Source organism: Homo sapiens, chromosome 3 (assembly GCF_000001405.40).
Source record: "Homo sapiens chromosome 3, GRCh38.p14 Primary Assembly".
NCBI lineage: Eukaryota > Metazoa > Chordata > Mammalia > Primates > Hominidae > Homo > Homo sapiens.
Window position 1 is genome coordinate 106,174,837 of NC_000003.12, and position 22,581 is coordinate 106,197,417.

Below are 22,581 nucleotides of genomic sequence, written 5' to 3' on the forward strand. Positions count from 1 at the left end.
AAGCTCTACTTTCTCCTCACCATGAAAATTACTTGACTTTCAACTGGTTCTTGCCTTGGAAATTAACACATTTACATGATAATTGAAGACTTTAAGATCCCTCCATGTAAACTCACAGAAATGAAGTACTTTCCCAGTCTCACCTTTTTAGTAGCTTATTATCTACTCCACCTATTATACTTTTGGAATAAGCCTAGGAGAAGAACCCTCTTCACAATACCTGCCTTTTTCTAAATGTGTAGTCAAGGGAAAATCCCTTGGATTACTGTTGAGGATGGGCAAGAGCACAATAAATTACCTTTAGTACTAACATGCCTACCATTTACATAATGCTGGGCATCCAGAGATCTGAAAAGTTAGGCAGTTTACATAGTAACTTTGGTTTTCATTATAATTTGCTCAATGATCTACATGGTATGTTCCACAGGTTGTCCCTCATTAACAATGCATAGATGGATAAGGTGTGCAAAATTGCAGCAAAGGCAGTGCTTTTGTTTTCACGAGTCCCTGCTCATGCATCTGTGATGCATTGCCTGGGATGAATGTGTCTCAGATTTATTCTGAAGCAACTTGTACCTTCAGCATTCCCTAGAAGTGACAGAAGGGGTTTAAATCTGTTAAGTGTGTACTCCATTCCACACTGCCATAAAAGGCAATGCAGTTTGGGAATTTATTGTCCAACTAGTCCCCTAGCACTCTAGCATAATGGGGTGGTTCCCATCCTGTGGGCATCCCCAGGTGACCACTTTCTAGCTTGTCAAGTACAAGCATTAAATTGATTACTTAATATGTTGGCTTTATATGGTAAATACTCATATTTCTAGACTTTATAATGAAACTGTAGGCAACATGTATAACTGATATACAAATGTATGCTTTGTCACATAAATTTATAACAATCTTACAAGATATCTTTATTATCAACATTTTGCAAATGAGAGAAATCAAAGCAGAGAGAGGTTATATAACTTATCCAGGATCTCACAGTTAAGAAGTGATGGAGCCAGTTTCAACTCAGGAAAACTGAATTTTGAATCTATATTCTTTCTTTTTTTTTTTTTTTTAGATAAAGTCTCCCTCTGTCACCCAGGCTGGAGTGCAATGGCGTGATCTCAGCTCACTGCAACCTCTGCCTCCCACGTTTAAGCGATTCTCCTGCCTCAGCCTCCTGAGTAGCTGGGATTACAGGCGCACACCACCATGCCCGGCTAATTTTTGTATTTTTAGTATAGATGAGGTTTCACCATGTTGACCAGGCTGGTCTCAAACTCCTGACCTCACAAGATCCACCCTCCTTGGCCTCCCAAAGTGCTGGGATTACAGGCATGAGCCACCGTGCCCAGCCCAAATCTATATTCTTAACTCCTAAGTAATGGTTTTGGGTGATATAGTATAATACATGGCAATAATAAAACCATCTCCTTGTGCAAGTATCAATTCCTTGGAATGAAGTCATTATATGCAGAAAGTTGTATCTTTATTTGTAATGGGACCTAAGCCAGAGAATTTCATTTTGAGAGACACTATTTATCACCTCAGGCTAAGACTTAGCTGGATGCTTCTGCTAAATGTCAGTGATTCAATTCATATTCCAAAAGAGGTTTTATTCAGTCACTATATTGGATTTGTTTTCAAAGCCATACTTCTACTTGCAAGCTAAGTTTTTGTCTGGTTGGTTGGTTGGTCGATTGCTTACAAAGGGAACAACATAGAGAATACTTCAATGTTAAAATATTTTAGGACTAATCATAGAAATGTGATTTGAAAGGCTGAGATAAAACATCCAAAAGAAATACATCTTATTTATGGGTCTGAGCCCTTAAATTCTCACTGCGATTTGCAAAAGTTATTGAGCAAGGAGGTTTAAATAATTTTTAAGTGTGTTTTTAAAAAAAAGTCTGTGCTACTAGAAAGAAAAAGAAAACAACTGTTCTTGCTATCATACATTACATGGTTAAAGGGGCACCTCCCTTAACTGACTGGAGGAAGTTAGCTGTTGGTTTCAAAATCACTCTTTCCAGAAAAGCAGGGTGTGTGACTCAGATTTCCACCCGAAGGTGGTCCTTGAGAGAAGGTCTTAGATGTTTAGAAGAGGTTATGTTACATTCTTTGGTATCACTTATTATTTCCTTCAGGCAAACCACATGTCAGAGGACTTCAATCTGAAAATGACGTGAGTTACATGGGTTCCTTCCTCTTCGTTTTTTAAAGGTCCTCTTGTCTTTCTGTTTTCATGTGTGCTCTTCACTGGCAGCTTTCTATAAACAAATGCACTTATCAGAATAAAAGAGTCATTTCACTTCTCTAGGGAGAGATTTTTATATCCATCTTTTGAAGAGATGAGATGAAACGTAGTTTGAAATTGAATGTATACAAATTAGTGTATAGATCTCCACATTTTAAAAGACCCTGAGTGGTCAAAATGATGAAACAAATGAGAAAGAAAAATAAGAGGACAAGAACTAACATTAATTGGAAACCCAGTGTGTATCTCACAACCTTATAGGTATTTTGCACACAGCATTTAATTTGATCCTCCTATTAAGGATTAAATAGACATTTTATCTCCATGTTATTGATGAGGCAACTGAAGTGTGGACATATGAAAATAACTTCTACCAAATTATGCATGTTATATAAATAGATAGACCAGTAGAGGAAATAAAAACAAAAACTCAGGATCTGTGATTCCTATACTACTACTCCAGGAACACAGGCATAGCATTGAGTGCTAAAGAGTCTAAAAATGGCTGACAAAATGGAAAACCTCCAAAGTCCTAGAATATGGATGTTTAAAAATCTTTATTTCTAAAAATAGTCTCAAAGTTTATGTTCCAATAAGAGTTTGGCATCTATAAAAGACAAATTTAGTTAGAAAAGTATGCCATTGACCCTCAAGGAGACGTTTTTCTCTAGAAGGATTTTGTATTATGGTTCTCTAGAAGGACAGACCTAATAGAATATATGTATATATGAAATGGAGTTTATTAAGGAGAATTGACTCAGACAATCACAAGGTAAATGCCCACGATAGGCCATCTGCATGTTGAGGAGCAAGGAAGCCCAGTGGTGGATCAGTCCAAGTCCCCAAATCTCAAAAGCCAGGAAGCCGACAGTGCAGCCTTTAAGTCTCTGGTGAAAGGCCTGAGAGCCCCTGGCAAGCAGCTGGTGTAAGTCCAAGAGTCCAAAAGCTGGAGAACTTGGAGTCTGATGTTCGAGGGCAGGAGGTATCCAGCACAGGAGAAAGATGAAGGCCGGACGACTCGGCAAGTCTGTTCTTCCATCTTCTCCTGTCTCCTTTATTCTGGCTGCACTGGCAGCTGATTAGATGGTGCCCACCCATACTGAGGGTGAGTGTGCCTCTCCCAGTCCACTGACACAAATGTTAATCTCCTTTGGCAACACCGTCACAGACACACCCAGGAACAGTTCTTTTCATCCTTCAATCTAATCAAGTTGACACTGAATATTAACCATCACAGATTTTATACATACTTAGGGTCAAGTGTTAAGCATTTTGTTTCAACTATAAGATATATGCTTGGAAATTAGTTTGGCTGACACTGGAATTTAGGTATTATATTAAGCTCAGAGCCTTTTGGATTGTAACCCATTTGGCATTATATCATGTTTTATAATTATGTGTTTTTTTTCTCCTCCCCAGAACCACAGTTTCCTATTAGACAAGAAGTGACAGGTTACCGTAATCCAGGTAGGAGTTGCCTGTCAATATGATATTTTTTCAATAGCATTTACTGAAACATACAAGATTTAGGTATGCCCTAATTGTTGTGGGATTTTCAAAATGTGTCATATTCTATGGGAATCAAGCCGTTTAATTCATTAATTCATTAAATTAATATTTATTTATTAAATGCTTAAGTGACCTAGAGTTGTAGAAGGCACTAAAGATATAATGGCAAACAAATGCAGTTTATTGGGGGAGACAGTAACTAATAAGCAATAATTGTAAAGCTGCAATTGTTTTAAGTGCTAAAGTATATGGTACTCTGAGGTAGCATAATAGGAAAATTAATGCATGCAGGAAGATTGGGAAAGGGAAATGATCTGAAGTCTGTAGGATGAATAGGAGTAAATTGGGACTAAAGGGGAGGAAAGAGGGTTCGGTCCTCTGAATATCCTGGCTGGGTGATGGTGATGCTGAGGGAAGAAGCCAAGGAGCACACTGAGCTGGGGTGTGCTCATGGGTAAACATGGTAAACAAGGTCAGGCCAGGACTAGGGACGGGGAGGAGATTGTGAGATGTTAGGAGGAAAATTAAAGGATTTCAAAGCTGAGGGAGGATAGGGAATCAGAAAAGGACAGGAGTAACACAATCAGATTTGTGTGGAAAAGATTGCAAAGATTTTTCTAGGTGTAGTGGGGCAAATGCATGAGCAGGGATAAGGATGGATGACAGTGGGTCGATCACTTATGAGCCATTTACAGCAGTCCAGTCCTAGGGGTACTTGTAACCTGTTTCAGGTGGTAGTGAGGATGGAGGTGTAGATAGGAGAACAGAGTGGAGAGATGTGTCTGAATTTTTTATGAACAGACATTGGTGATGAATTACATATGGAAAGATGGGAAGGGAAGAAGACTTGTTTAGGATGACTCTGGTTTCTTATTCTCTATGTTCCTCATTTTTTTTTTTCAAAATGAACCAAACAGGGTTGAGAGTGAAGGAAGATGCTGGGTCCAGTTTTGTACATATTGGGATTAAGGTACCTTACAGATATCTAAATAATGATGTCCTATATACTTTGACATCAGTCCATGGTCCTTAAGCCTCATGCTGTAATCTATTTGTCTTCTAATTGTATTTGTATTTTATCAAATACATAAACATTCCTAATTAACTTAGCAAAATAATTACCTTCAGTTTGTGTGACTTAAACCTTATGCTTCCCAAGTGAAGGCATTGCTTCTTAAATGTTTCCCCCAAAACAATTTAACTTAAGGAAGTGAGCAAATTCTATTATTAAGAAATACAGATTGCAGATGACAGCTATAATGTAATCCAAGCAGATCAGAGGTCTCAAAGCCATGAAACTTGGTTATATTAATAGGAAAGCAAACTGCATTTTCCCTTGTATTAGGATGAGTCTTTATTCTAATTAGGGGAAGTTATCTAAAATCCACATATTTGTTTCCTTTATCTATTTCTTCTATACAAACCTTCTGTGAAAAGCAACAAAGTGGCAGCACAATTCTCTAGCATTTTTACTCCTGTAGGTTTTGATTAACTGTAATTAAGTAAAGGCAATTATTCAAAGGGAAATAAATTTTCTCATTGTTAACTCTATTAAACAAGAAGTCATTTGCTGCTGAGTGTGGTGGATGTAAAGAGACTTAATTACCCCTTTTTCTTTTATCCTTTTTCCTAAAGGAATAAAAGAAGCTTCATATTATTTTCTGAGTCTTGACTCTAGTACACATCTGCCTCCCTTGAGCTGAAGGTTCACAATTTTTTGTTGTAATCCTTTGCGTCTGGAGATACGCCTGTGAACTAGGGGTACAATAATAGCCTGGGTTTTCTACCTGTGAGCCATGGTAGGCAGATCCAGAAATAAGAGCTAATAGTTTATCTGGAAAAACACCTTTGGGAAATTTCAGGTAATCACAAACCACTGTGCAAAACAAAATTAATGCATATTTGGTTAGACTAATGCAGATGTATCTAACTGCATTTAGGCAATTCTGCACATATTAAAATTATTTCACTTCCCAGAAGGAAAGTAAATTTAGGGATGGAGAGTATTTGGGTTGCAAATGGAAAAACTAGATAAAATCACTTTTTATAAAAAGGTTGAGAAAAAAGAATAAATAGGCTTCTATGTTCAGGAGGAAAGTTTGAGAAGTGGGGGAGACAAAGTTTGTGTTGCTGTGAGAGACTTCTTGTCAGATACCGTGCTTGAATTTCCTTGAAATCTGCACATGTAGTCAAATCTACTGTTCTTAATAATGTATACAAATACATCCAGCATTTACAAGATACATCATTAAGAATGCAGTAAATAAATGCAACACTTTCAGCCTCAATATGATATAGGGTCAAGAAGATAAGGGAAGACTATAGAATTGAGTTGAAACATGAAAGATGGATAAACCTTCTAAGAAAGCACCTTAAAACTGGCTGCACAGTGGAGTTATTTAACTGATTAAAAAATCCAATGACTGCAAAGGGTCCCATTGCCAGAAATAATGGTTTGATTAATTCGGGATGGAACCTGAGAATCAGTATTTTTTAAAGGTCCCAGATGATTCTAATGTGTAGTCTAGCTTGAGAATCACTTATATCAGAGATGGTTATCACTAACTATAAACTATTGGTAAAACAAATCAAACATACTTTGTATGTGTATTGAGTGTATTGCTAAAGCTTTCTGGATGTAGAAGGGCTACACAGACATTTTATTCTCATGAATGAAAATGGCTAGCATGTTTGAAAATGAATTAGACAAAGAGTTATTATTTTGTTTTTAATTTCTACTATATAGTAGTCTTAAAAATTAAACCTGTGATGTTAGTATTTGTAGTATTTGTATTTTAGAAATAAAAGGTGAAATATAGAGGACAGAGATAAGACAAAGAACCTACCTAATTTCCAGAGTTTCAAACCTATAACTTGGTGCAAAAGTAATTGCGGTCTTTGCCATTGAAAGTAATAGCAATACTGTAATCACTTTTGCACCAGCCTAATAGAAGATGGTTTGGGATTCAAACCCTATCTCCCTGATGCTTACGGACAGTCTTTCAGGGTTTCCTATAGGGTTATGCTCCTGCCCCTGGCAGGTGCTCATTGGCTTACTATCCTTTTCTCAAAATAACAGTATTTTTCTAGAGAGAAAAGAAATAAAAGTCAAGAGAAAAATGGAAAGAGTAACAAGCTTGGGAAGAATGTTAATACTATTATATTTGTACGTTATATGTTTCACATTTCCGCAGCATATTTTCTTCATTGTTGCTAAGGGAAAGAGAGCAACTGCAATCTTCTATGATGCCAGGAATAGGCTTCATAGATGAAAAGCACGTTTATGAGAAACTTTAAGATAAACTGAATTTAAGGCCTCTTCCATGTGAGTTCTCTTACTTAACATCTTAGCTCCTCAACTTAAATAGAAGGCACATAAATTACTGATGTTCCCACACACTGACTAAAAGCTGGATAGGATTTGGGTTTGAGTATCAGAAGAATTGAGTTCCCTTCTGCCTCGCAATCTGAATCCAGTTCATTCAAACCATGCTTTACAAGAATGAGTTTCTTATTCTTATAAAAATATTTGCAATGAAAATTAATTAGTTTACAACCATATTTAAAACCTTGAAAAATACTGTTTTTGCATGATATCATTATTAATTATTGTATTGCAGCACCCAGCGTGATACCATGCTTATGCAGATACTTTACAAATATTACTTGATGGTTTGATGATTTTGTATGATTAAAAAACACACAAAAAGTTGGCTTTCATTACATGGAATTTAAGGACATATAAGAGTTTGCAAGTAAAAGGTATATATTCTTGCCATTTTTAATTGCTTAACTTTTATAAAACATAGTTTATGCTCTTTTCTAAGCTTTTTAATACTATGCAGAATCGACAGACAAGCTTAAATTACAGTCATATTCAATTACTAGCAGAATATACAATAAGAATACTCATAACATCATAATTGCTAAAACTTATTGATAACATAGTATGTTAGTCACTATACTAATTGCATAGATTCTCTTAAATGCTACAACTACGAATGAGTAGGTAGTAGTATCATTTATACTTTCCCAATGCGGAAAAGGAAACTTAAAGGCATATTTAAGGTCACAAATCTAATTAAGTAGCAGAGCTTGAACTCAAACTCAAAGTTAATCTAGGGGGGTTGAATTTAAGGGAGTTATCATTAAATACATCAATACAAAAAAAATTCCAATATTCTCTCTCTAAGGTTGCATAACTCCCTGTGGCTTCCATAGGCTATTTGGAAACAAATGTGAATATACATGGTTTCTTTCTGTCTATTCTTTGGCTAGTTAGAGGTTTCAGCAGTTCTTACCTGCTTATACAAAAGGCAGACAGATACAATTACAAGGGCGGTTTGAAATAAGTCCAGAATCTTCCTACCCACTGACCATGCAGAATCCAAACCCTTAATATGCATAATGAAGGCATTACTTCACTTTACTTTGTAATTTCTCCTAAAACGCACACAAACCATTACCTCATTCAAAATGGCTTGGATTGAAATAGCTGATTTAAACTGATGTTTAAATCTTAGAACGAAGCCAGGCTGCTGTCTGTGTAAGAGGCTGCACTGCCTTATTACTGTTTTATTTTGATTATATCAGCAAGTGAGAATCAATAGGTCAGACAGGACCTGTGAATTGATGTTTATTCATATGCATGCCTTCCAGCTGAATGTGATTAGAAATGATAGTGTCATTATGTAAGTGCTAATAGTACCTAAAATGTTTGAATGCTCACTACGTACTGAGCACTAGTGTACATGCTCTACATGGATTACTTCAAAACAACCCTATGGGCAGGGACGGTTATTGACCCCATTTTACAGGTGAGGTTAATATCACTTTGCCCAAGGGTCGGCACCTAGCAATTGGCAGTGCCATGCAGGCATTTTTACTTCAGAGTTAGCTCTAAACATCTAAATAGTCTTGGCATGAAATTCTATTATTATTGGAGGTCAAAGGGCATGACTACATTGTAAGCAGTACAATGGAATTGTTTTGGAACCTGAAGTCTCAGCTTCAATTTCTAGTGCACCATTTATCAATCGGTGTCCTTGGGCTAATTACCTCATTTGCTAGTGGAAGATAATAGCATTACCTACCTCACAGGTTGGTATGAGGTGGATAAATTAATTCATATGAAACATTTTAGCATAATGACTAAAAAATAATAAGTACTCAGTTATTATTATGTGAGTTACCTAACTGGCTCCATGAGTTGATTCAGGCTCTAAAAATAGGCAACAGATGCATTAGGCAGCTTTGATTGCTTTCTGTAACTTGACATAGCAGCTTTACGTTACTCAATGATTTAGTACAATTTAACATTTGTAGAGCTCCTTTCTCACAAAGATAATTGATCTCACCAATCATCAGCCAACTTGTGAACTGGCTCAGAATGAGAAAACCCATAAATTTCAGATGCAGAAACAGGCAAGCAGTGAAAATTCTTGCCTCAGGACACACTTGAATTCAAGGAGATTTGAGGATTAGCACCAAGGCATGTTATCTAACCAGAGAAAACACATCTCTTCTGAAAGTTCCTGATAGCCTGAGGACTCAAGGAATCAGACACCCAATGACTCCAGAGAGAAGGAAATGACACCTGAGAAAGAAAATGACACCTGAGAAAGAAAATCTGGCTAGTCTTAGATCTTGACACAGACTCTTGTTTGATGCTGGATATGTTCCAACTACATTAAAGTTCTCTACACTAGACTTGCTCAATTGTCTTGGCAGACTCTGCCATAGATGAGACATCAAGTAATCCATGCTGAGTAGAGAGAAGAAAAACAGTAACTGTAACAGACTAGGTTTCATTAACCCAAGGGTTCTAAGAAAAAAAAAAAACGTTGTAGAAAGCTTCCTTTTTGTGGCAATCTAACAAATTTTAGAAGAGAACTTTTTTATTAACTTATTTTTTGCCAACTGCATTATAATATGTAAGCTGACAGCTATATTTTTATAAAAATAAATTCGTATGTGCATTTTTATGGTACATGGGCTTCAATGGCAAGATGCTTCATTAGGCTGCTAATCTTATCCATCTCACTGGGTCTAGCCTCCCTCCCATCTCCCACCTCCCCTAGATCTATACGCACCTCCTTCTTTACTCCCCCAACTAAAAACACTTGTTAATATCACTTCACTGGGAACTGAAACAATGAGTTCAGTTTCATGAGTTAGCTGAGATAAATGTGGTGGGAAAATTTTTCTTTCTAAGTAATTTAAAGATATAGATACATTCACATATATATTCTTTGATTTATTTTGAAAGAAGTTAGAAAATAGGAGATCATCAAATATATAAACTTAATAGTTCAGTTTTCACTTAAAAAGTTAAAAAAAAAAAAGAAAAAGCCATTTTGTAGTAATCAAGACATTTTTGAGGATAGGACTTGGGCAGAGAGAGTACAGTGGTATTCTATAATCTGTGGTTTCTCTTTCTGTAGTTTCAGTTACCCATGGTTAGTTGCGGGTTTAAAAGTAGGTGAGTATATTACAAAAAGATATTTTCAGAAAGAGTGAGAGAAACCACATTCACATCACCCTTACTGCAGTATATTAATTGTTCCATTTTATGATTAGCTATTGTTATTCATCTCTGTGTCTAATTTATAAAAGAAACTTTATCATAGGTATATATGGGTAGGAAAACACATAGTATATGTAGGGTTTAGTACTAACCATGGGTTTAGGCTCTCAGAACCTATCCTCCATATAGGGGGATTACTGCATGCTACATGCTTGGATGGGATTTCCAATCTCATTTTCTAGTTTAACTCTAACCTTTCTGTCGCATTAGGGTGGAATGTTCTTCTCTAAAACACATGAAGTAAATGAATGCTTGGTAAAGATGTTCATGTTTAATTATAACTGGAAGTCAGACCTGTCTTAGGCAACATAATGATCAAGGTGAAGTTCATCCCTGCTGGCTTCCCATCTACTTCTGCCAGAGCCACTTCTTCCTTCTGACCCTCCCTTTGTCTTCCTGCCATCCCTGATTCTTGTCAAGGGGATAAAGTGTCGGGCAAAGCAAGCTTAAGGGTTTTGCCTTTCAAAGGAGATTTCTTCAAATTTAGAAAATGAAAACATTTTTCAGGAGGGGACCACTAAACCATGAAACTATATAGCTTGGGCATCAGCAATTTAAGTTTGAAATAAAACAGTGTTTAAATTTCAGTTTTGACACTTCTGGGTTTTATAACCATGGGTAAATGACTTCAATCTCTTTTGAATTCTTTGTCTGAAAAGAAATAGGAATAGCAATAGTAGCTATCTCTGTTGAGAGTTGAGAATACGGGGAAACTAGGTATGATGCCTATTTAACCCATAACAAAACGTCAATAGTCAGTAAGGCTGATAATTTGCAGAAAGAGTATCTGACTTGTACCCCTTTAAATAATAACATTTGGGACCACAAAAGTCACTTGCTGGTGAGACTGCCCACCATACCAGTTATAGATTGTCATAACTTCAAGGAATCTTAGAGGTCAGCCACTTCAAGGTACTTAGAAAAAGGTACCTGGCTTATCAGCCAGATAAACCAATTTTTCCACGGCCACATAGGAGTTGAGAGATTGAGTCATGTCTCTAACAGGAACTTCTTACTGCAGTTCTAATTTTTTTCACTTGTAGTTCTAATTCTGTTCACTTCACTGAGAATTCTTGAGTGTATAGGGAGCTGATGATGACAACTTTCATTTTGAAGTAAAGTATTCGTAATCCTTAAAATGTGTATTTTGCTTAAGATTTAATGTTAAGACTCAAATTCTCCATTTCATTTAAACATTTATTGGTTTGGTGTTCACTGAGCATCATTTTTGTTAATTTCAAAATAGTATCATTCATGAGAAACAAAATAAGTTTATGAAATTACTCCCTTTTCTAAACCTAAATTTTGTTGAAGAGCAGAGATGAGGTCCAATTCTACAGACACAGACCCATACACACACCCTCCAACCCCCTACACACAATGTAACACATGAATATTCCAACTCTAGAAAGCATGCTGTTGCAAGTTGCTATTTGAGTTCAGGAAAGAAAGAAATTAATATATGTTTTTGTAGTTATTGTTTTCGTGCATTCTGAAGCACATTTTGAAGTCCAAATAAAAGATATCTGTTGAGTGGATCCAACCTTTAGAAAATAGGTTCGCAAACTTTTTCTATAAAGGGGCAGTTATAAATATTTTAGGCTTTGTATAAGTCAAGAGACAAAATTTTAAAAATCATCTAGGTACTTACATAATTAGAGAAAATCAATTTTTATTATTTTTATTGGCAAAATTTAAAATATAATAAGGACACCATATTTTTGAAATACATTTTTATTACTGAGAAAAAAATGAATTATTTTATGAAGGATAACATTTTTTGTAACTGAGATTCAAAATAATATTTCTTATCCCCAAATTGATTGTGAGCATTTATCTATTAAAAACCATTCTCAGCTCACAGACCCTTCAAAAACAGCCTGGAGAAGAATGATAAAGCGATGAACCAAAGTTAGTTCACCAAGGGAAATGAATGTTATCAAGAAGATCAATGATTGACTCTGGAAAAAAATTCAGAAAAAGAAAATTTTTACAAAAAGAGAGGGCAAAGAAGACACAGAATTAACATATAATAAGATAGCTTCAATAAATTGCACACAAGAAATTCAAGGACTAAATTGCACTAAGTCACAGATTACAACATAATTTCTGAATCTTGCCTTTTATTATAGTTCCTTTCTTTTTAAAATATATATCCTTTATCACATTCAAATATTTTCCTTCAATCCAGGATTAAGAGTGATAAAGTTTCTGGAAGTGAATGTTGCAGAATCAAGCTGGAAAAAGAATGTCATCTTAGTTAATATTTGGGGCAGAGTGAATTATAAGAAAATACTACTGTCTTTGAACTTTATACGGAAGCTTGTGTGTGGAGAGGATGAAAATATGTAATTCCAAATTATGCCTGTTTGGCATAAGGATTATTCTGAGCTGAAGACAATTGAGAGAAAGAAGTTCTCTGCTCTGCTCCTATTTGTCTACCAGCAAAGCACAAATTCCCATTGTGATGGTGTCCCTTCTCCTTCCCCTGACCAGAAAAAGGAGAAAAACCGTTCTTACCACTGAGATTAGTCTGTGTAAACAAACCTTACTAAATAACTCCTATATACCATTAGTTTCCCTCATGTATTTTCCTTCCCATGGTTTATCACCCTTGGAAGCCTAAAACCATCTTAAAAAAAATCTAGTCACTTCTCTACACTCACCACCCTTTGTTAAAGATATAACTCCTCAAGTCTAATTGCTTCTTCAGGCTTTCACTTCTTTTCTCTGGAACTACATTGCATATGAAATTTAAAATAAAATGTCTATGACTCTTCTCCTGTTAATCTGTATTTTGCCAGTTTAATTCACAAGTTCCAGTTACTAAACCTAAGAAATTAGAGGGAAAACTTTTGCTCTCCTATATGTCCTTGCAAGTAATAAACAAAATATAGCAGATTCAAATATAATACCTATAGAAACCTCTTTCACTATTGTAATTTGAGGACTGAGGGTAAGGGGCAATTGTTGCATGATTCAGGCCAAATCTTCAAGAGGTAACCACAGAACACCACAATTTTGCCATTTATTGAAAATTCTAGTCTCTTGGTTGTCTGCACTTTCCTTTCTTAGCTTTATTTTCTATATACCATTTTTTTGTTAATCTGAGCAACAAACATTTTTTATTTCCCCAACCCTGTAATTTTAAGAAAACTCTTTCTAACAAAAGCCTCATTAAGATAGGATGCCTCCAAACATCTACACATCATATTTTTCTTTCGGTAAAAATGTGTTGTGATGTGAACAGGACTTGAATTTTATTGCCAAGTAAAGCTGGCTGTGAATCCAGGATCCATCATGAATCTGTTGAGTGACTTTGGACAAATTTTCCAATGCTTTTCCAATCTGAAAAAGAAAAGAAAATCTGATGTAAAGTCTTAATTCCCTAGGTTATTATAATTAAATAAGATAATGTGCATAATAAATGACATGTACATTTGTATATATACACACACGTATATAATAAATTTGTAAGGCAATTTTGAAAATGAGACTATGCCTTTTTATCTTTTAAAATGCATATAATGTGATATAAATTATAATATTTAAAAATATATATATTCAGAAATCAAATACTAAAAATGAAGTTGTCCTGATAGAGGACTATATCAGGCATTTGCCTAAGGATATTCTAAGAATTTATTTGTCCATTTACTCTATTACATTGGAAATGCTACAAGTCTAAGAACCTCTGCTTCAACCAGATTTTTTCCTCCTAAAAGGAAAACTGGTGATCTCAGGTGGCATGTATAAAGTTTTATATTAAAAGGAAATGTCATATATTCTCACTAGCTCTATTATTCCATTACACAATATCATTATAGAATTGCTATCTTAGTCCAATTTGGCTGCTATAAAAATACCATAATTGGGAAACTTATAAATCACAGAAATGTATTTCTCTCAGTTCTGGAGACTTGGAAGTTTAAGATCAAGGCATAGGCAGATTCAGTGTCTGATGAGGGCCCTCTTTATGGTTCACAGATGATACCCTCTCACTATATCCTCACCTGGTAGAAGGGACAAAAGGTCTCTCCAGGGCATCTTTTATAACGGCACTGACCCCATTCCTGAGTGTTCTGCCTTCATGATATAATGGCCTCTCAAAGGCCCCACCTCCTAAAACCATCACATTGATTATTTGTTTTCAACATATAAATTTTGGGACAGCATAGACATTCAGACCATAGCATTTAGTGAAAAAGGGAGAACAGTCACCCAGATGGTCATTCTTAACAGACCACCATTCTAATTTTTTATGTGGGTGCTGGTTTAAAAGGGAGTGGGTATATAGGAAACTCCATAGTAAATTTGAATACGCAATTCTGGTTTCCATTTTTTTTTTATTTCACAGCTGGTGCTGGCCTTACATAATCTTTATTGCTAAATAATTACTTTGCAAATTGAAAATAACATTGACCACCTCCTAACGCCTTCAGAAATTTTTTGGATTATAGATATGGTGATAAAGATCAGAGATATTATATAAATTCTAAGTATCAACATTATAAAAGATGAAATTTTATTCTCTCCTTTCAACCAGCTATTTTCTGCACTTTAAAAAATAGGTATATTTACATTGCTAACTACCAAGCAAACTCCTTTCCAATTCAGCATTTCTCGTTTCTTACTATTTCTTTGTTGGGTGTCTGTTCTTATTTCAATAAAACAATTAAACAAAGTTCCATTCCCTCTAGGCACTGATAAGATTTTGCCCAATTACTGAGATATTTCTCTTTAAAACCTTAAATTCACTTACGTGGAGTGATTATTTTATGAGCTCTATTAAATCTAAAAGGACATCCTCATCCTAAGTGTCTAGTAGTATTAGCAAGGGTTGGCAAACTATTCAGGAGATAATTGACTCTACAGTTTATTCTGTCCCAACAAATGTAGGTACACAACAAATGTGTGACAGTTTATTCTGTCGTAACAATGTAGGTATGCATTGAAGGTGTAGGCTTGGTTGTGGCGGGAGTGAGGGATCTCTGTGCATTTCCTGGTTCCTTGAAAATAACTTGAAGTCATTAAGACAATATAAGAGGTACAACAGAGAGAAAAGTGTATTTCCTTTTTGATGCAGGGCTATGCATCTTAGAGCTCTTTGTACCCTGTGCTTTTGTTCCACTTTCCCCTTCTGTCCAAAATGCTCTCAGCTCATTTCCCCTCTTAGCCAAGATTGCTTGGCTAGAGCAAATAAAAGGGAAATCAGGAAAAACTGTAGAAAGCTTTCTCAGTCTTCTTCTACCTCCACCCCTGATTTTTGCTTCTGTCCTTCATGATTCTCTATCATGACAAGTATCTGTGCAATTGCATAATGACTGCTTCATGTGAGTCCATAAAATCAGACATTCCTTTATTCAGCACATCGTTATTAAGTGCCTGCTATGTGAAGTAATCAGCAAAATCTGGACTTTCCAACGATATTAACCATGTGTTTTCATAGGCACAAAAGACTACTGACCACTGTAAATGAGACCAGCACCTAGGGTTGATGTCCAGTGGTTAGGATTGACTGACAGTGTGGGGCCATCAACAATTTTTTGCCCCATCACCTCATGCATTCAGAATGGTTTGTTGACCACAGAGAAGTATCTGTTAAACTTTTCTCCCCATTGTGCAAAACTTAGTGACCCATGCAAATATCAAATCATCAATGCTTGATATAGGATCTAATCAATTGATACAACTAGCCCAGATACCTTTATATATTATATGTTAATCTCTCTAATAATCTGAAGCACTCATCTTCCATTTAGACTGACTTATCTCCCATTCTCTTTTTCCTCTGCCTCTTCTCCTTATTAAATATATTTACATGAAAATAGAGTTTGGATCCCTTGTGATCTTAGCTTTGCTTTTGACAGAATTACTCTCTTGTGAAACAATAATACTCTCCTAATGAGTTGATATGATGTCAAAGACATTATCTAAAACAATTGAAATTCAACAAATGGAAAAATATTGATTTGAGGAAGTGCTCTGGAGAATTCCAGATGTTGGGTTCATAAATTGAGAAGTCATTTTATCTTTTCCAAAAATTCAATGCACTTGCTTTTCCATGTTATGCTATTTAGACTAAGGTAGTAGCAGCAAAACTTAAAAATCAAATGCTAAAATAAATATAGAATTGCTTAAGCACTGATTTCAAGCATGTCACAACACTTTTTTGCACTTCAGAGGCTGAGCTTAGCAAAATAATTGTGGTATGCATTACATTCTGTTATCATAATTTTACTCAGTTATTTTCATGGGGAAAATGGGAATTACTAAAAATCTACTTCGATGACTAATGTGCAGGCTTTCCCTGAATTATCACTCTTAAGCACATTTTCTTAGAAGCACATATTCCCCAACTATTGTAACATGAAAGGTAGACATTTAGTAGAAAAACAAGACAGGAAAAGAAATAATGCCTTATTTTATTTATTCCACTGGAACAGGGAGCCATTTAAATATACGAATGTAAAGCATCTCTTCAGAGCCTGCTATTGGTAATTGTTTCTGTCTTTAAGTGATGGGCTATTTAAAGTGCAACAGTCATGCACTCACCAGTCTAACTTATATTGCAAGATATTATAAATATATTAGTCTCATAGAATACAAAATTTACAATCAAAACCCCTTGAGGTTTTAGTGAAGAAAGAGAGAGAGGGGATGGTGACAACAGCCCAAGGTAAGGGTGCAAAATTACCTCCTGCAGTTGCTCTAATGGATTCAAGGCAGTAATTATGTAAAAGAGGGTGGGAAATACATTTGCTAATAGTGTAGTGGAAACAGAGCCCCTACATCTACAATCTCAATTACAAGGACAGGCACAGAAGTAGACAAGGACCTAAGAAATCAGTCTGAAAGATACTAAAATTTCCCTTTGATATAGGTACCCCAGAAATCCCTTGGCAGTGTTGGTGGGGGTGAGTAACAACAACAACAAAACCGAAATTTGTAGATATTCTCAATACGGAAAAAGCAACTAGGAGGTTTTAGGTTGATGTTAGAAGCTTCTGAAACTGTAAATACTCCGAAACTATCTTTTGTTTTATGTTTTTATAGGTTGAAATAAAGACAAAGTAATAAAGAAGTAAAGACATCAAGCTAATTAAGAAAAGCAGAAATAGTTGCTTTGTTGCTATTTTTTTTTTTTTTTTTTTGTTTATAAGGCATAGACACTCATTCCTCATTTATAACAGGAAACATGATTTTATGGCAAAACCCACCAAGAACTGAGGAAACATAGATCCATTAGAAGTTGGGGAGATAAGGAAACTGTTCATTCTTCCCTAGCCTGTCTGCCATCAGCAACTTGGGAGTTCAGCATTTTCTGGTTTCAGGTCTCTGATGCCTCTGCTTCTCTTCTGTTTATCTTTAACTTTGTGTCTTTCTACTGTTTGGCTTCTGCTTTATCATTACTGCTGTTGGGGCATGGCCTCTGCTGAGTCCCTCGCAGGTATCCGGCTCTCTTCAATTATCTTTGTGCTATGACGGGACTCCACTGGAGAACATCAATCAGATCAGGGTGGGCCGGTCTCATCTCACAATAGGACATCTCTATTCTATAGAGTTTCCCTGCCAAGAAAACTCATTGGACGCTTTGGTTCTGGCAATAATTCCTGATCTAATCAGTTCTGACTGGGATGGCAGTGTGACATGGTACAGAGCACTGTTTCCTCAGAGTAAGGAAACTCTGGACTGTGGTTCACTTTGCTTCGAGAGCTCTTTCCCAGAGACACACGGCTCTCCCCCTCACTTCCTTCATGTCTTTGCTCAAATATTCTTTTTTCAGGAAGCTCTTCCCTGACCACCCTGTTTAAAATTTAGCTCCCCACCTTTCTAACACTAGCCTGTGCCCAGGAAGTCACTCTCTTTCCTTCCTTCTTCTACTTCATTTTTCTTCTGAATTTCTATGAACATTGGGTAAAGTATATAGTCTTCTCATTTACTTTGTATAATGTCTGTTTCCCTCCATTAGAATATAAACTCCGCAAGTACAGGGATATTTTCTTTTCCTATACTGGCTCTTTTTCTACTATTGGGTACCCAGAGCCTAGGATAGTGCCTGACATATGGTAGCCATCCAAGAAAAACTTAACGACTAAAAGTGATTTCACTGACAAGGTGCTGTAGCAAAATTAAAGATGATGCTAACATTGTAAAATATTGACTACCACTCCAGTATGGTGTAGCAAACCTACAGATCAACTAGTCCAAATAAGAGGGGGAGGAAGAAGTCCACAAAAGAAAATTTCCAGAAAACAAAACTCAGAGCAATATCTGATTAAATATAAAATTTTTGGGGTGGAAAGAAATTGAATGTATGATAAAGATAGTGCAAAAAATAAAAGCAAAGAATTAGAAACTTTGGGGAAGATTATAAAGGAAAAGAGGCATAATCAAAATATATTAGTAGGTATTGCAAAGCAAAATAATTCTATAGATGGTGGTGGAAAGACAGCAAGATGGCTCACAATTATTCTTGTCTCCTAGTACTCATGGTTTTGTGTCATCTCCTTCCCTTGAGGCAAGAACTGTGATTTGCTTCTAACCAATAAAAAATGGCAAAAGTAACAGGATGCTATTTCCATGGTTATATCACATAAGATTGTAATGTCTGTCTTGTCAGCTGACTCTATCCCATCCTGGCTTTGATGAAGTAAGCTGCTGTGATGCAAACTGCTCTCTGGAGAGGTGACAAACCTAAGGCAGGCTTTGGACAATACCTAGGAAGAAACTGAGACCCTCAGTCCTACAACCTGCAAAGAACCAAATTCTGCCAACAACCAAACAACCATATGAGCTTGAAAGCAGATTCTTCCTGAGCTGAGCCTTGACAGAAGAATACATCTCATACCTAAGTCTTGATTGCAGCCAGATGAGAGACTCTGAAGCAGAGGATTCAGCTACTCTGTGCCCAGACTCCTGACTCACAGAAACTGTGAGCTAACAATGTATGGTATTTTAAGCCACCAAGTTTGCGGTAATTTGTTATGAGCAGTAGATAACTAACATGCTGCTACAATAATTTCGATACTTTTCATTAATTTATGTCTTTGAGAATCAGTCTACAGACAGAATACAAAGAAGAATGGATATGAAAATGCAACAGTATTTTAAGTCTTTTCAAACTCAGCGTCGTGAAAGTAAGAAATTGGGGTGTGGAGTGGATGTGGGAAGTAGAGAAGAAATGGTAGGTAATAGTGCTTATAGGTTCATTTTATAATGTGAGGAGTCAGCTTTATGTAACAAGGAATAAAGGCGTAGATCTATTATGTAAATTTACAAAAGGAAAAAAGTGGGTGAAGTAAAAATATTATGAATAAAGAAGATGGGATACTTTGAGTGAACCAAAGTAGCATTTCTCAGGGAAGGAAGTTAATAGAATGCTACATGATAAAGCAATATGGTAGAAACCTGTTAGTGAGATAGCTGGAAGTAACTAGCAGTAGAAACAACGACTAGAGTTGAAAGTAGTTGCCTCTTGTCATAAGAGAATGAAGCAATAGGGTGTTAATTTTCATTTTCCCTATAAACTAGGTCATTTGAAACCTTATATATATTTTACTTTAAAAATTATAATGAAAATAAATACACAAAATGTGAATTATATTATTTAAATCATAAATTAGAAACAAAGAGTATTTGTTATTTATTCCAAAATATCAATTCTGGCTTTCTGGCTCACTGACATTTTCAGGATTCTCCCCTGCTTTCTAAATATTTTTTTGCCTTATTTTTCAATTTTGCTGATGATACAAATAATACATGTTCACCTTAAATAATTTTAAAAAGTGTAAAGACATTGTAACTAATATATAATATCTGACATTCTACCATTGTGGAATAATTACCATTGACATTTTGGTGAATATTTTTTCTTGCTTCTATTTCTGCACCCTTAAAACATACTGCTAAGTCTAGTCTCGAACTCCTGGTTTTGACATCTACCAGCCTTATTTTTAATCTCATTTTCATTAATGGGATTATATCATAATATCACTTTTAATATTGGATAGAATACTCTTCCTCACTTCATATTTTCCATCTCTGCTTGTATATTTATTTTGCATTTCTAAGAAATTATGCATATTAATAGACAGTTGTGTGTTGATTTCTCTATTGTTTCATGATTGTATAATTGAGGTAATGCATGCAGATAGTCGATCTAAATTTCTATTACTGAATATAAAAATTTATTAGTGAAGCAAATTAAATACTATATTAATATATATCTACATATAATTCCATGTAAAGACAATTTGTGGCTAAGAAGAAATTATTCTATGCATATATGTAAATTAATACACAGGTACACTCACATACACACCATCTCCTTGACCTGAAAGACAGCAGTCTCAACCATCTGAAAGATTGCAATCAATCAGGAGGGAGGCCATTACGATTATCATCTATTCCAATAAATATCATAAAATTTGTATACTTTATTTAGATCCCATTAAGTTTCATTTTATCTACATTTATTTTAGGCACAATTCTAATAAACTTGGTTATATGATTTCAAGCATATTAAAAGCAAAATCTTGAAGATGGTTATAATAGAATACTATACCCACCATATACAACCTATCAATTAGCATAGGAATTTGACTCTAATTAATGTTAGGGCTTATACTCCTGAATGATCTTTGAAAATCTGAGAGCCCATTAAAAAGAACTGATGTTCAAATGATGATCCCATGTCATCAAGGAAAGGTTACATTATCTTCAGCTTCTTTTGCTTAAAAAGAAAATCAATGAAAAGTTTAAAATGATTTCAGAAAAATTTGAATTCAAAGGACTGGCATTTAACCAAAGTTCTTGTTGCTTTAATTTATAACTATCTTGTCATCACCATCACCAGTAAAAGCAGCAGCCACAGCAGCATCATAATTTTTATGACCCTTTTAAAGCATCTATTTGCAAGGTATGCTGGAAGCTACTTAACATTTTAGCTGAATTAATCCAACAACAACCTTAGAAAGATATTGTTATGCTTATGTTCAGATAAAAAACAGGTTAAAAAAATGATAAGAAATGATGGAGTTCACTTTGGGATACACTGAGTTTGAGGTGCCATAAAGAGACATTCAGGAGATTTCAATAGGCAAGAAAGAAAGAAGGAAAGAAAGAAAGAGAAAGAAAGAAAGAAAGAAAGAAAGAAAGAAAAGAAAGAAAAGAGGTGACTTGCCTAAGTTCTAGGCTTCTGCAGTAAATTTTTTTTTTATTTTTTAATTTCTAATTTTTGTGGGTACATAGTAGGTGTACATATTTATGGGGTGTATGAGATGTTTTGATACAGGCATGCAATGTAAAATAATAAACTTATGGAAAATGGAGTAACCATCCCCTCAAGCACATATCCTTTGTGTAACAAACAATCCAATTATACTCTGTTATTTTAAAATGTACAATTACGTTTTATTGATTATAGTCACCTTGTTGTGCTATCAGACACTAGGCCTTATTCATTCATTCTAACTATTTTTTGTACCCATTATCCCTCCCCAACTCCCCTTCACTACCTTTCCCAGTCATTGGTAACCATCTTTCTACTCCCTATCTCCATAGGTTCAATTGTTTTGATTTTTAGATCCCACAAATAAATGAAACCATGTGATGTTTGTCTTTGTGCCTGGATTATTTCACTTAACATAATAAACTCCAGTTTCATCTGTGTTGTTGCAAATACATGGATCTCATTCTTGTTTATGGCTGAATAGTACTCCATTGTGTGTAAGCACCACATTTCCTTTATCCTGCAGTTAATTTGAATGTATGTTTACTTTCTGAGCCTATGCTTGCTCCTCTGTTCACTCTTTAGTTTCCTTCATATCTATGGATTCAATGAACATATTTATTCAGAGAACATACACATTTATATTTCTATTAAAGACTGCTCCTCTAAACTCTAGATTCATATGTCTGATGCCTATTGAAATCTCCTGAATGTCTCTTTATGGCACCTCAAACTCAGTGTATCCCAAAGTGAACTCCGTTAACGCCTGGTTCGCTCCCAGTGTCACTTATCTCAGTGACTAGCATCACCATCCATCCTGTTACACAAAGCAGGAGATCAGGAGTCAGTCTGGACAGTCCTGACAATCCCCCATTCCTCAGATTTCTTATCCAACCCACCACCAAGTTACATCAAATAGTACCTTCTTAACATATCTTCTTCGTCTTCACCACCACCACCTCCCACAGTCTAAGCTGCCATAATCAATTCCTTGCTCAACTATAATTG

At 35.5% G+C, this 22,581-nt stretch overlaps 2 long non-coding RNA genes across 2 annotated transcripts, besides 2 other annotated features; one reads left to right on the forward strand and one right to left on the reverse strand.

Moving 5' to 3' along the window:
* The first annotated feature begins 2,010 nt into the window (after nt 1-2,010).
* LOC105374027 (uncharacterized) lies at nt 2,011-22,025 on the forward strand. The gene is made up of 3 exons (XR_924311.3): nt 2,011-2,173; nt 3,665-3,712; nt 18,964-22,025. It is a non-coding gene; the product is annotated as an uncharacterized LOC105374027 (long non-coding RNA).
* Nucleotides 2,196-2,295: an enhancer, noted in NCBI's record as "active region_20199". NCBI's record gives its function as "activates an Ori minimal core promoter by ATAC-STARR-seq in GM12878 lymphoblastoid cells {active_cell/tissue: GM12878}" and the evidence as "EXISTENCE:reporter gene assay evidence [ECO:0000049][PMID:35858748]".
* Nucleotides 9,570-9,619: an enhancer, noted in NCBI's record as "active region_20200". NCBI's record gives its function as "activates an Ori minimal core promoter by ATAC-STARR-seq in GM12878 lymphoblastoid cells {active_cell/tissue: GM12878}" and the evidence as "EXISTENCE:reporter gene assay evidence [ECO:0000049][PMID:35858748]".
* On the reverse strand, nt 12,059-16,432 carry LOC107986110 (uncharacterized). Its single transcript, XR_001740838.3, has 2 exons — nt 14,354-16,432; nt 12,059-13,688 (listed from the first exon to the last, which is right to left on the reverse strand). It is a non-coding gene; the product is annotated as an uncharacterized LOC107986110 (long non-coding RNA).
* Nucleotides 22,026-22,581: the final 556 nt, after the last annotated feature.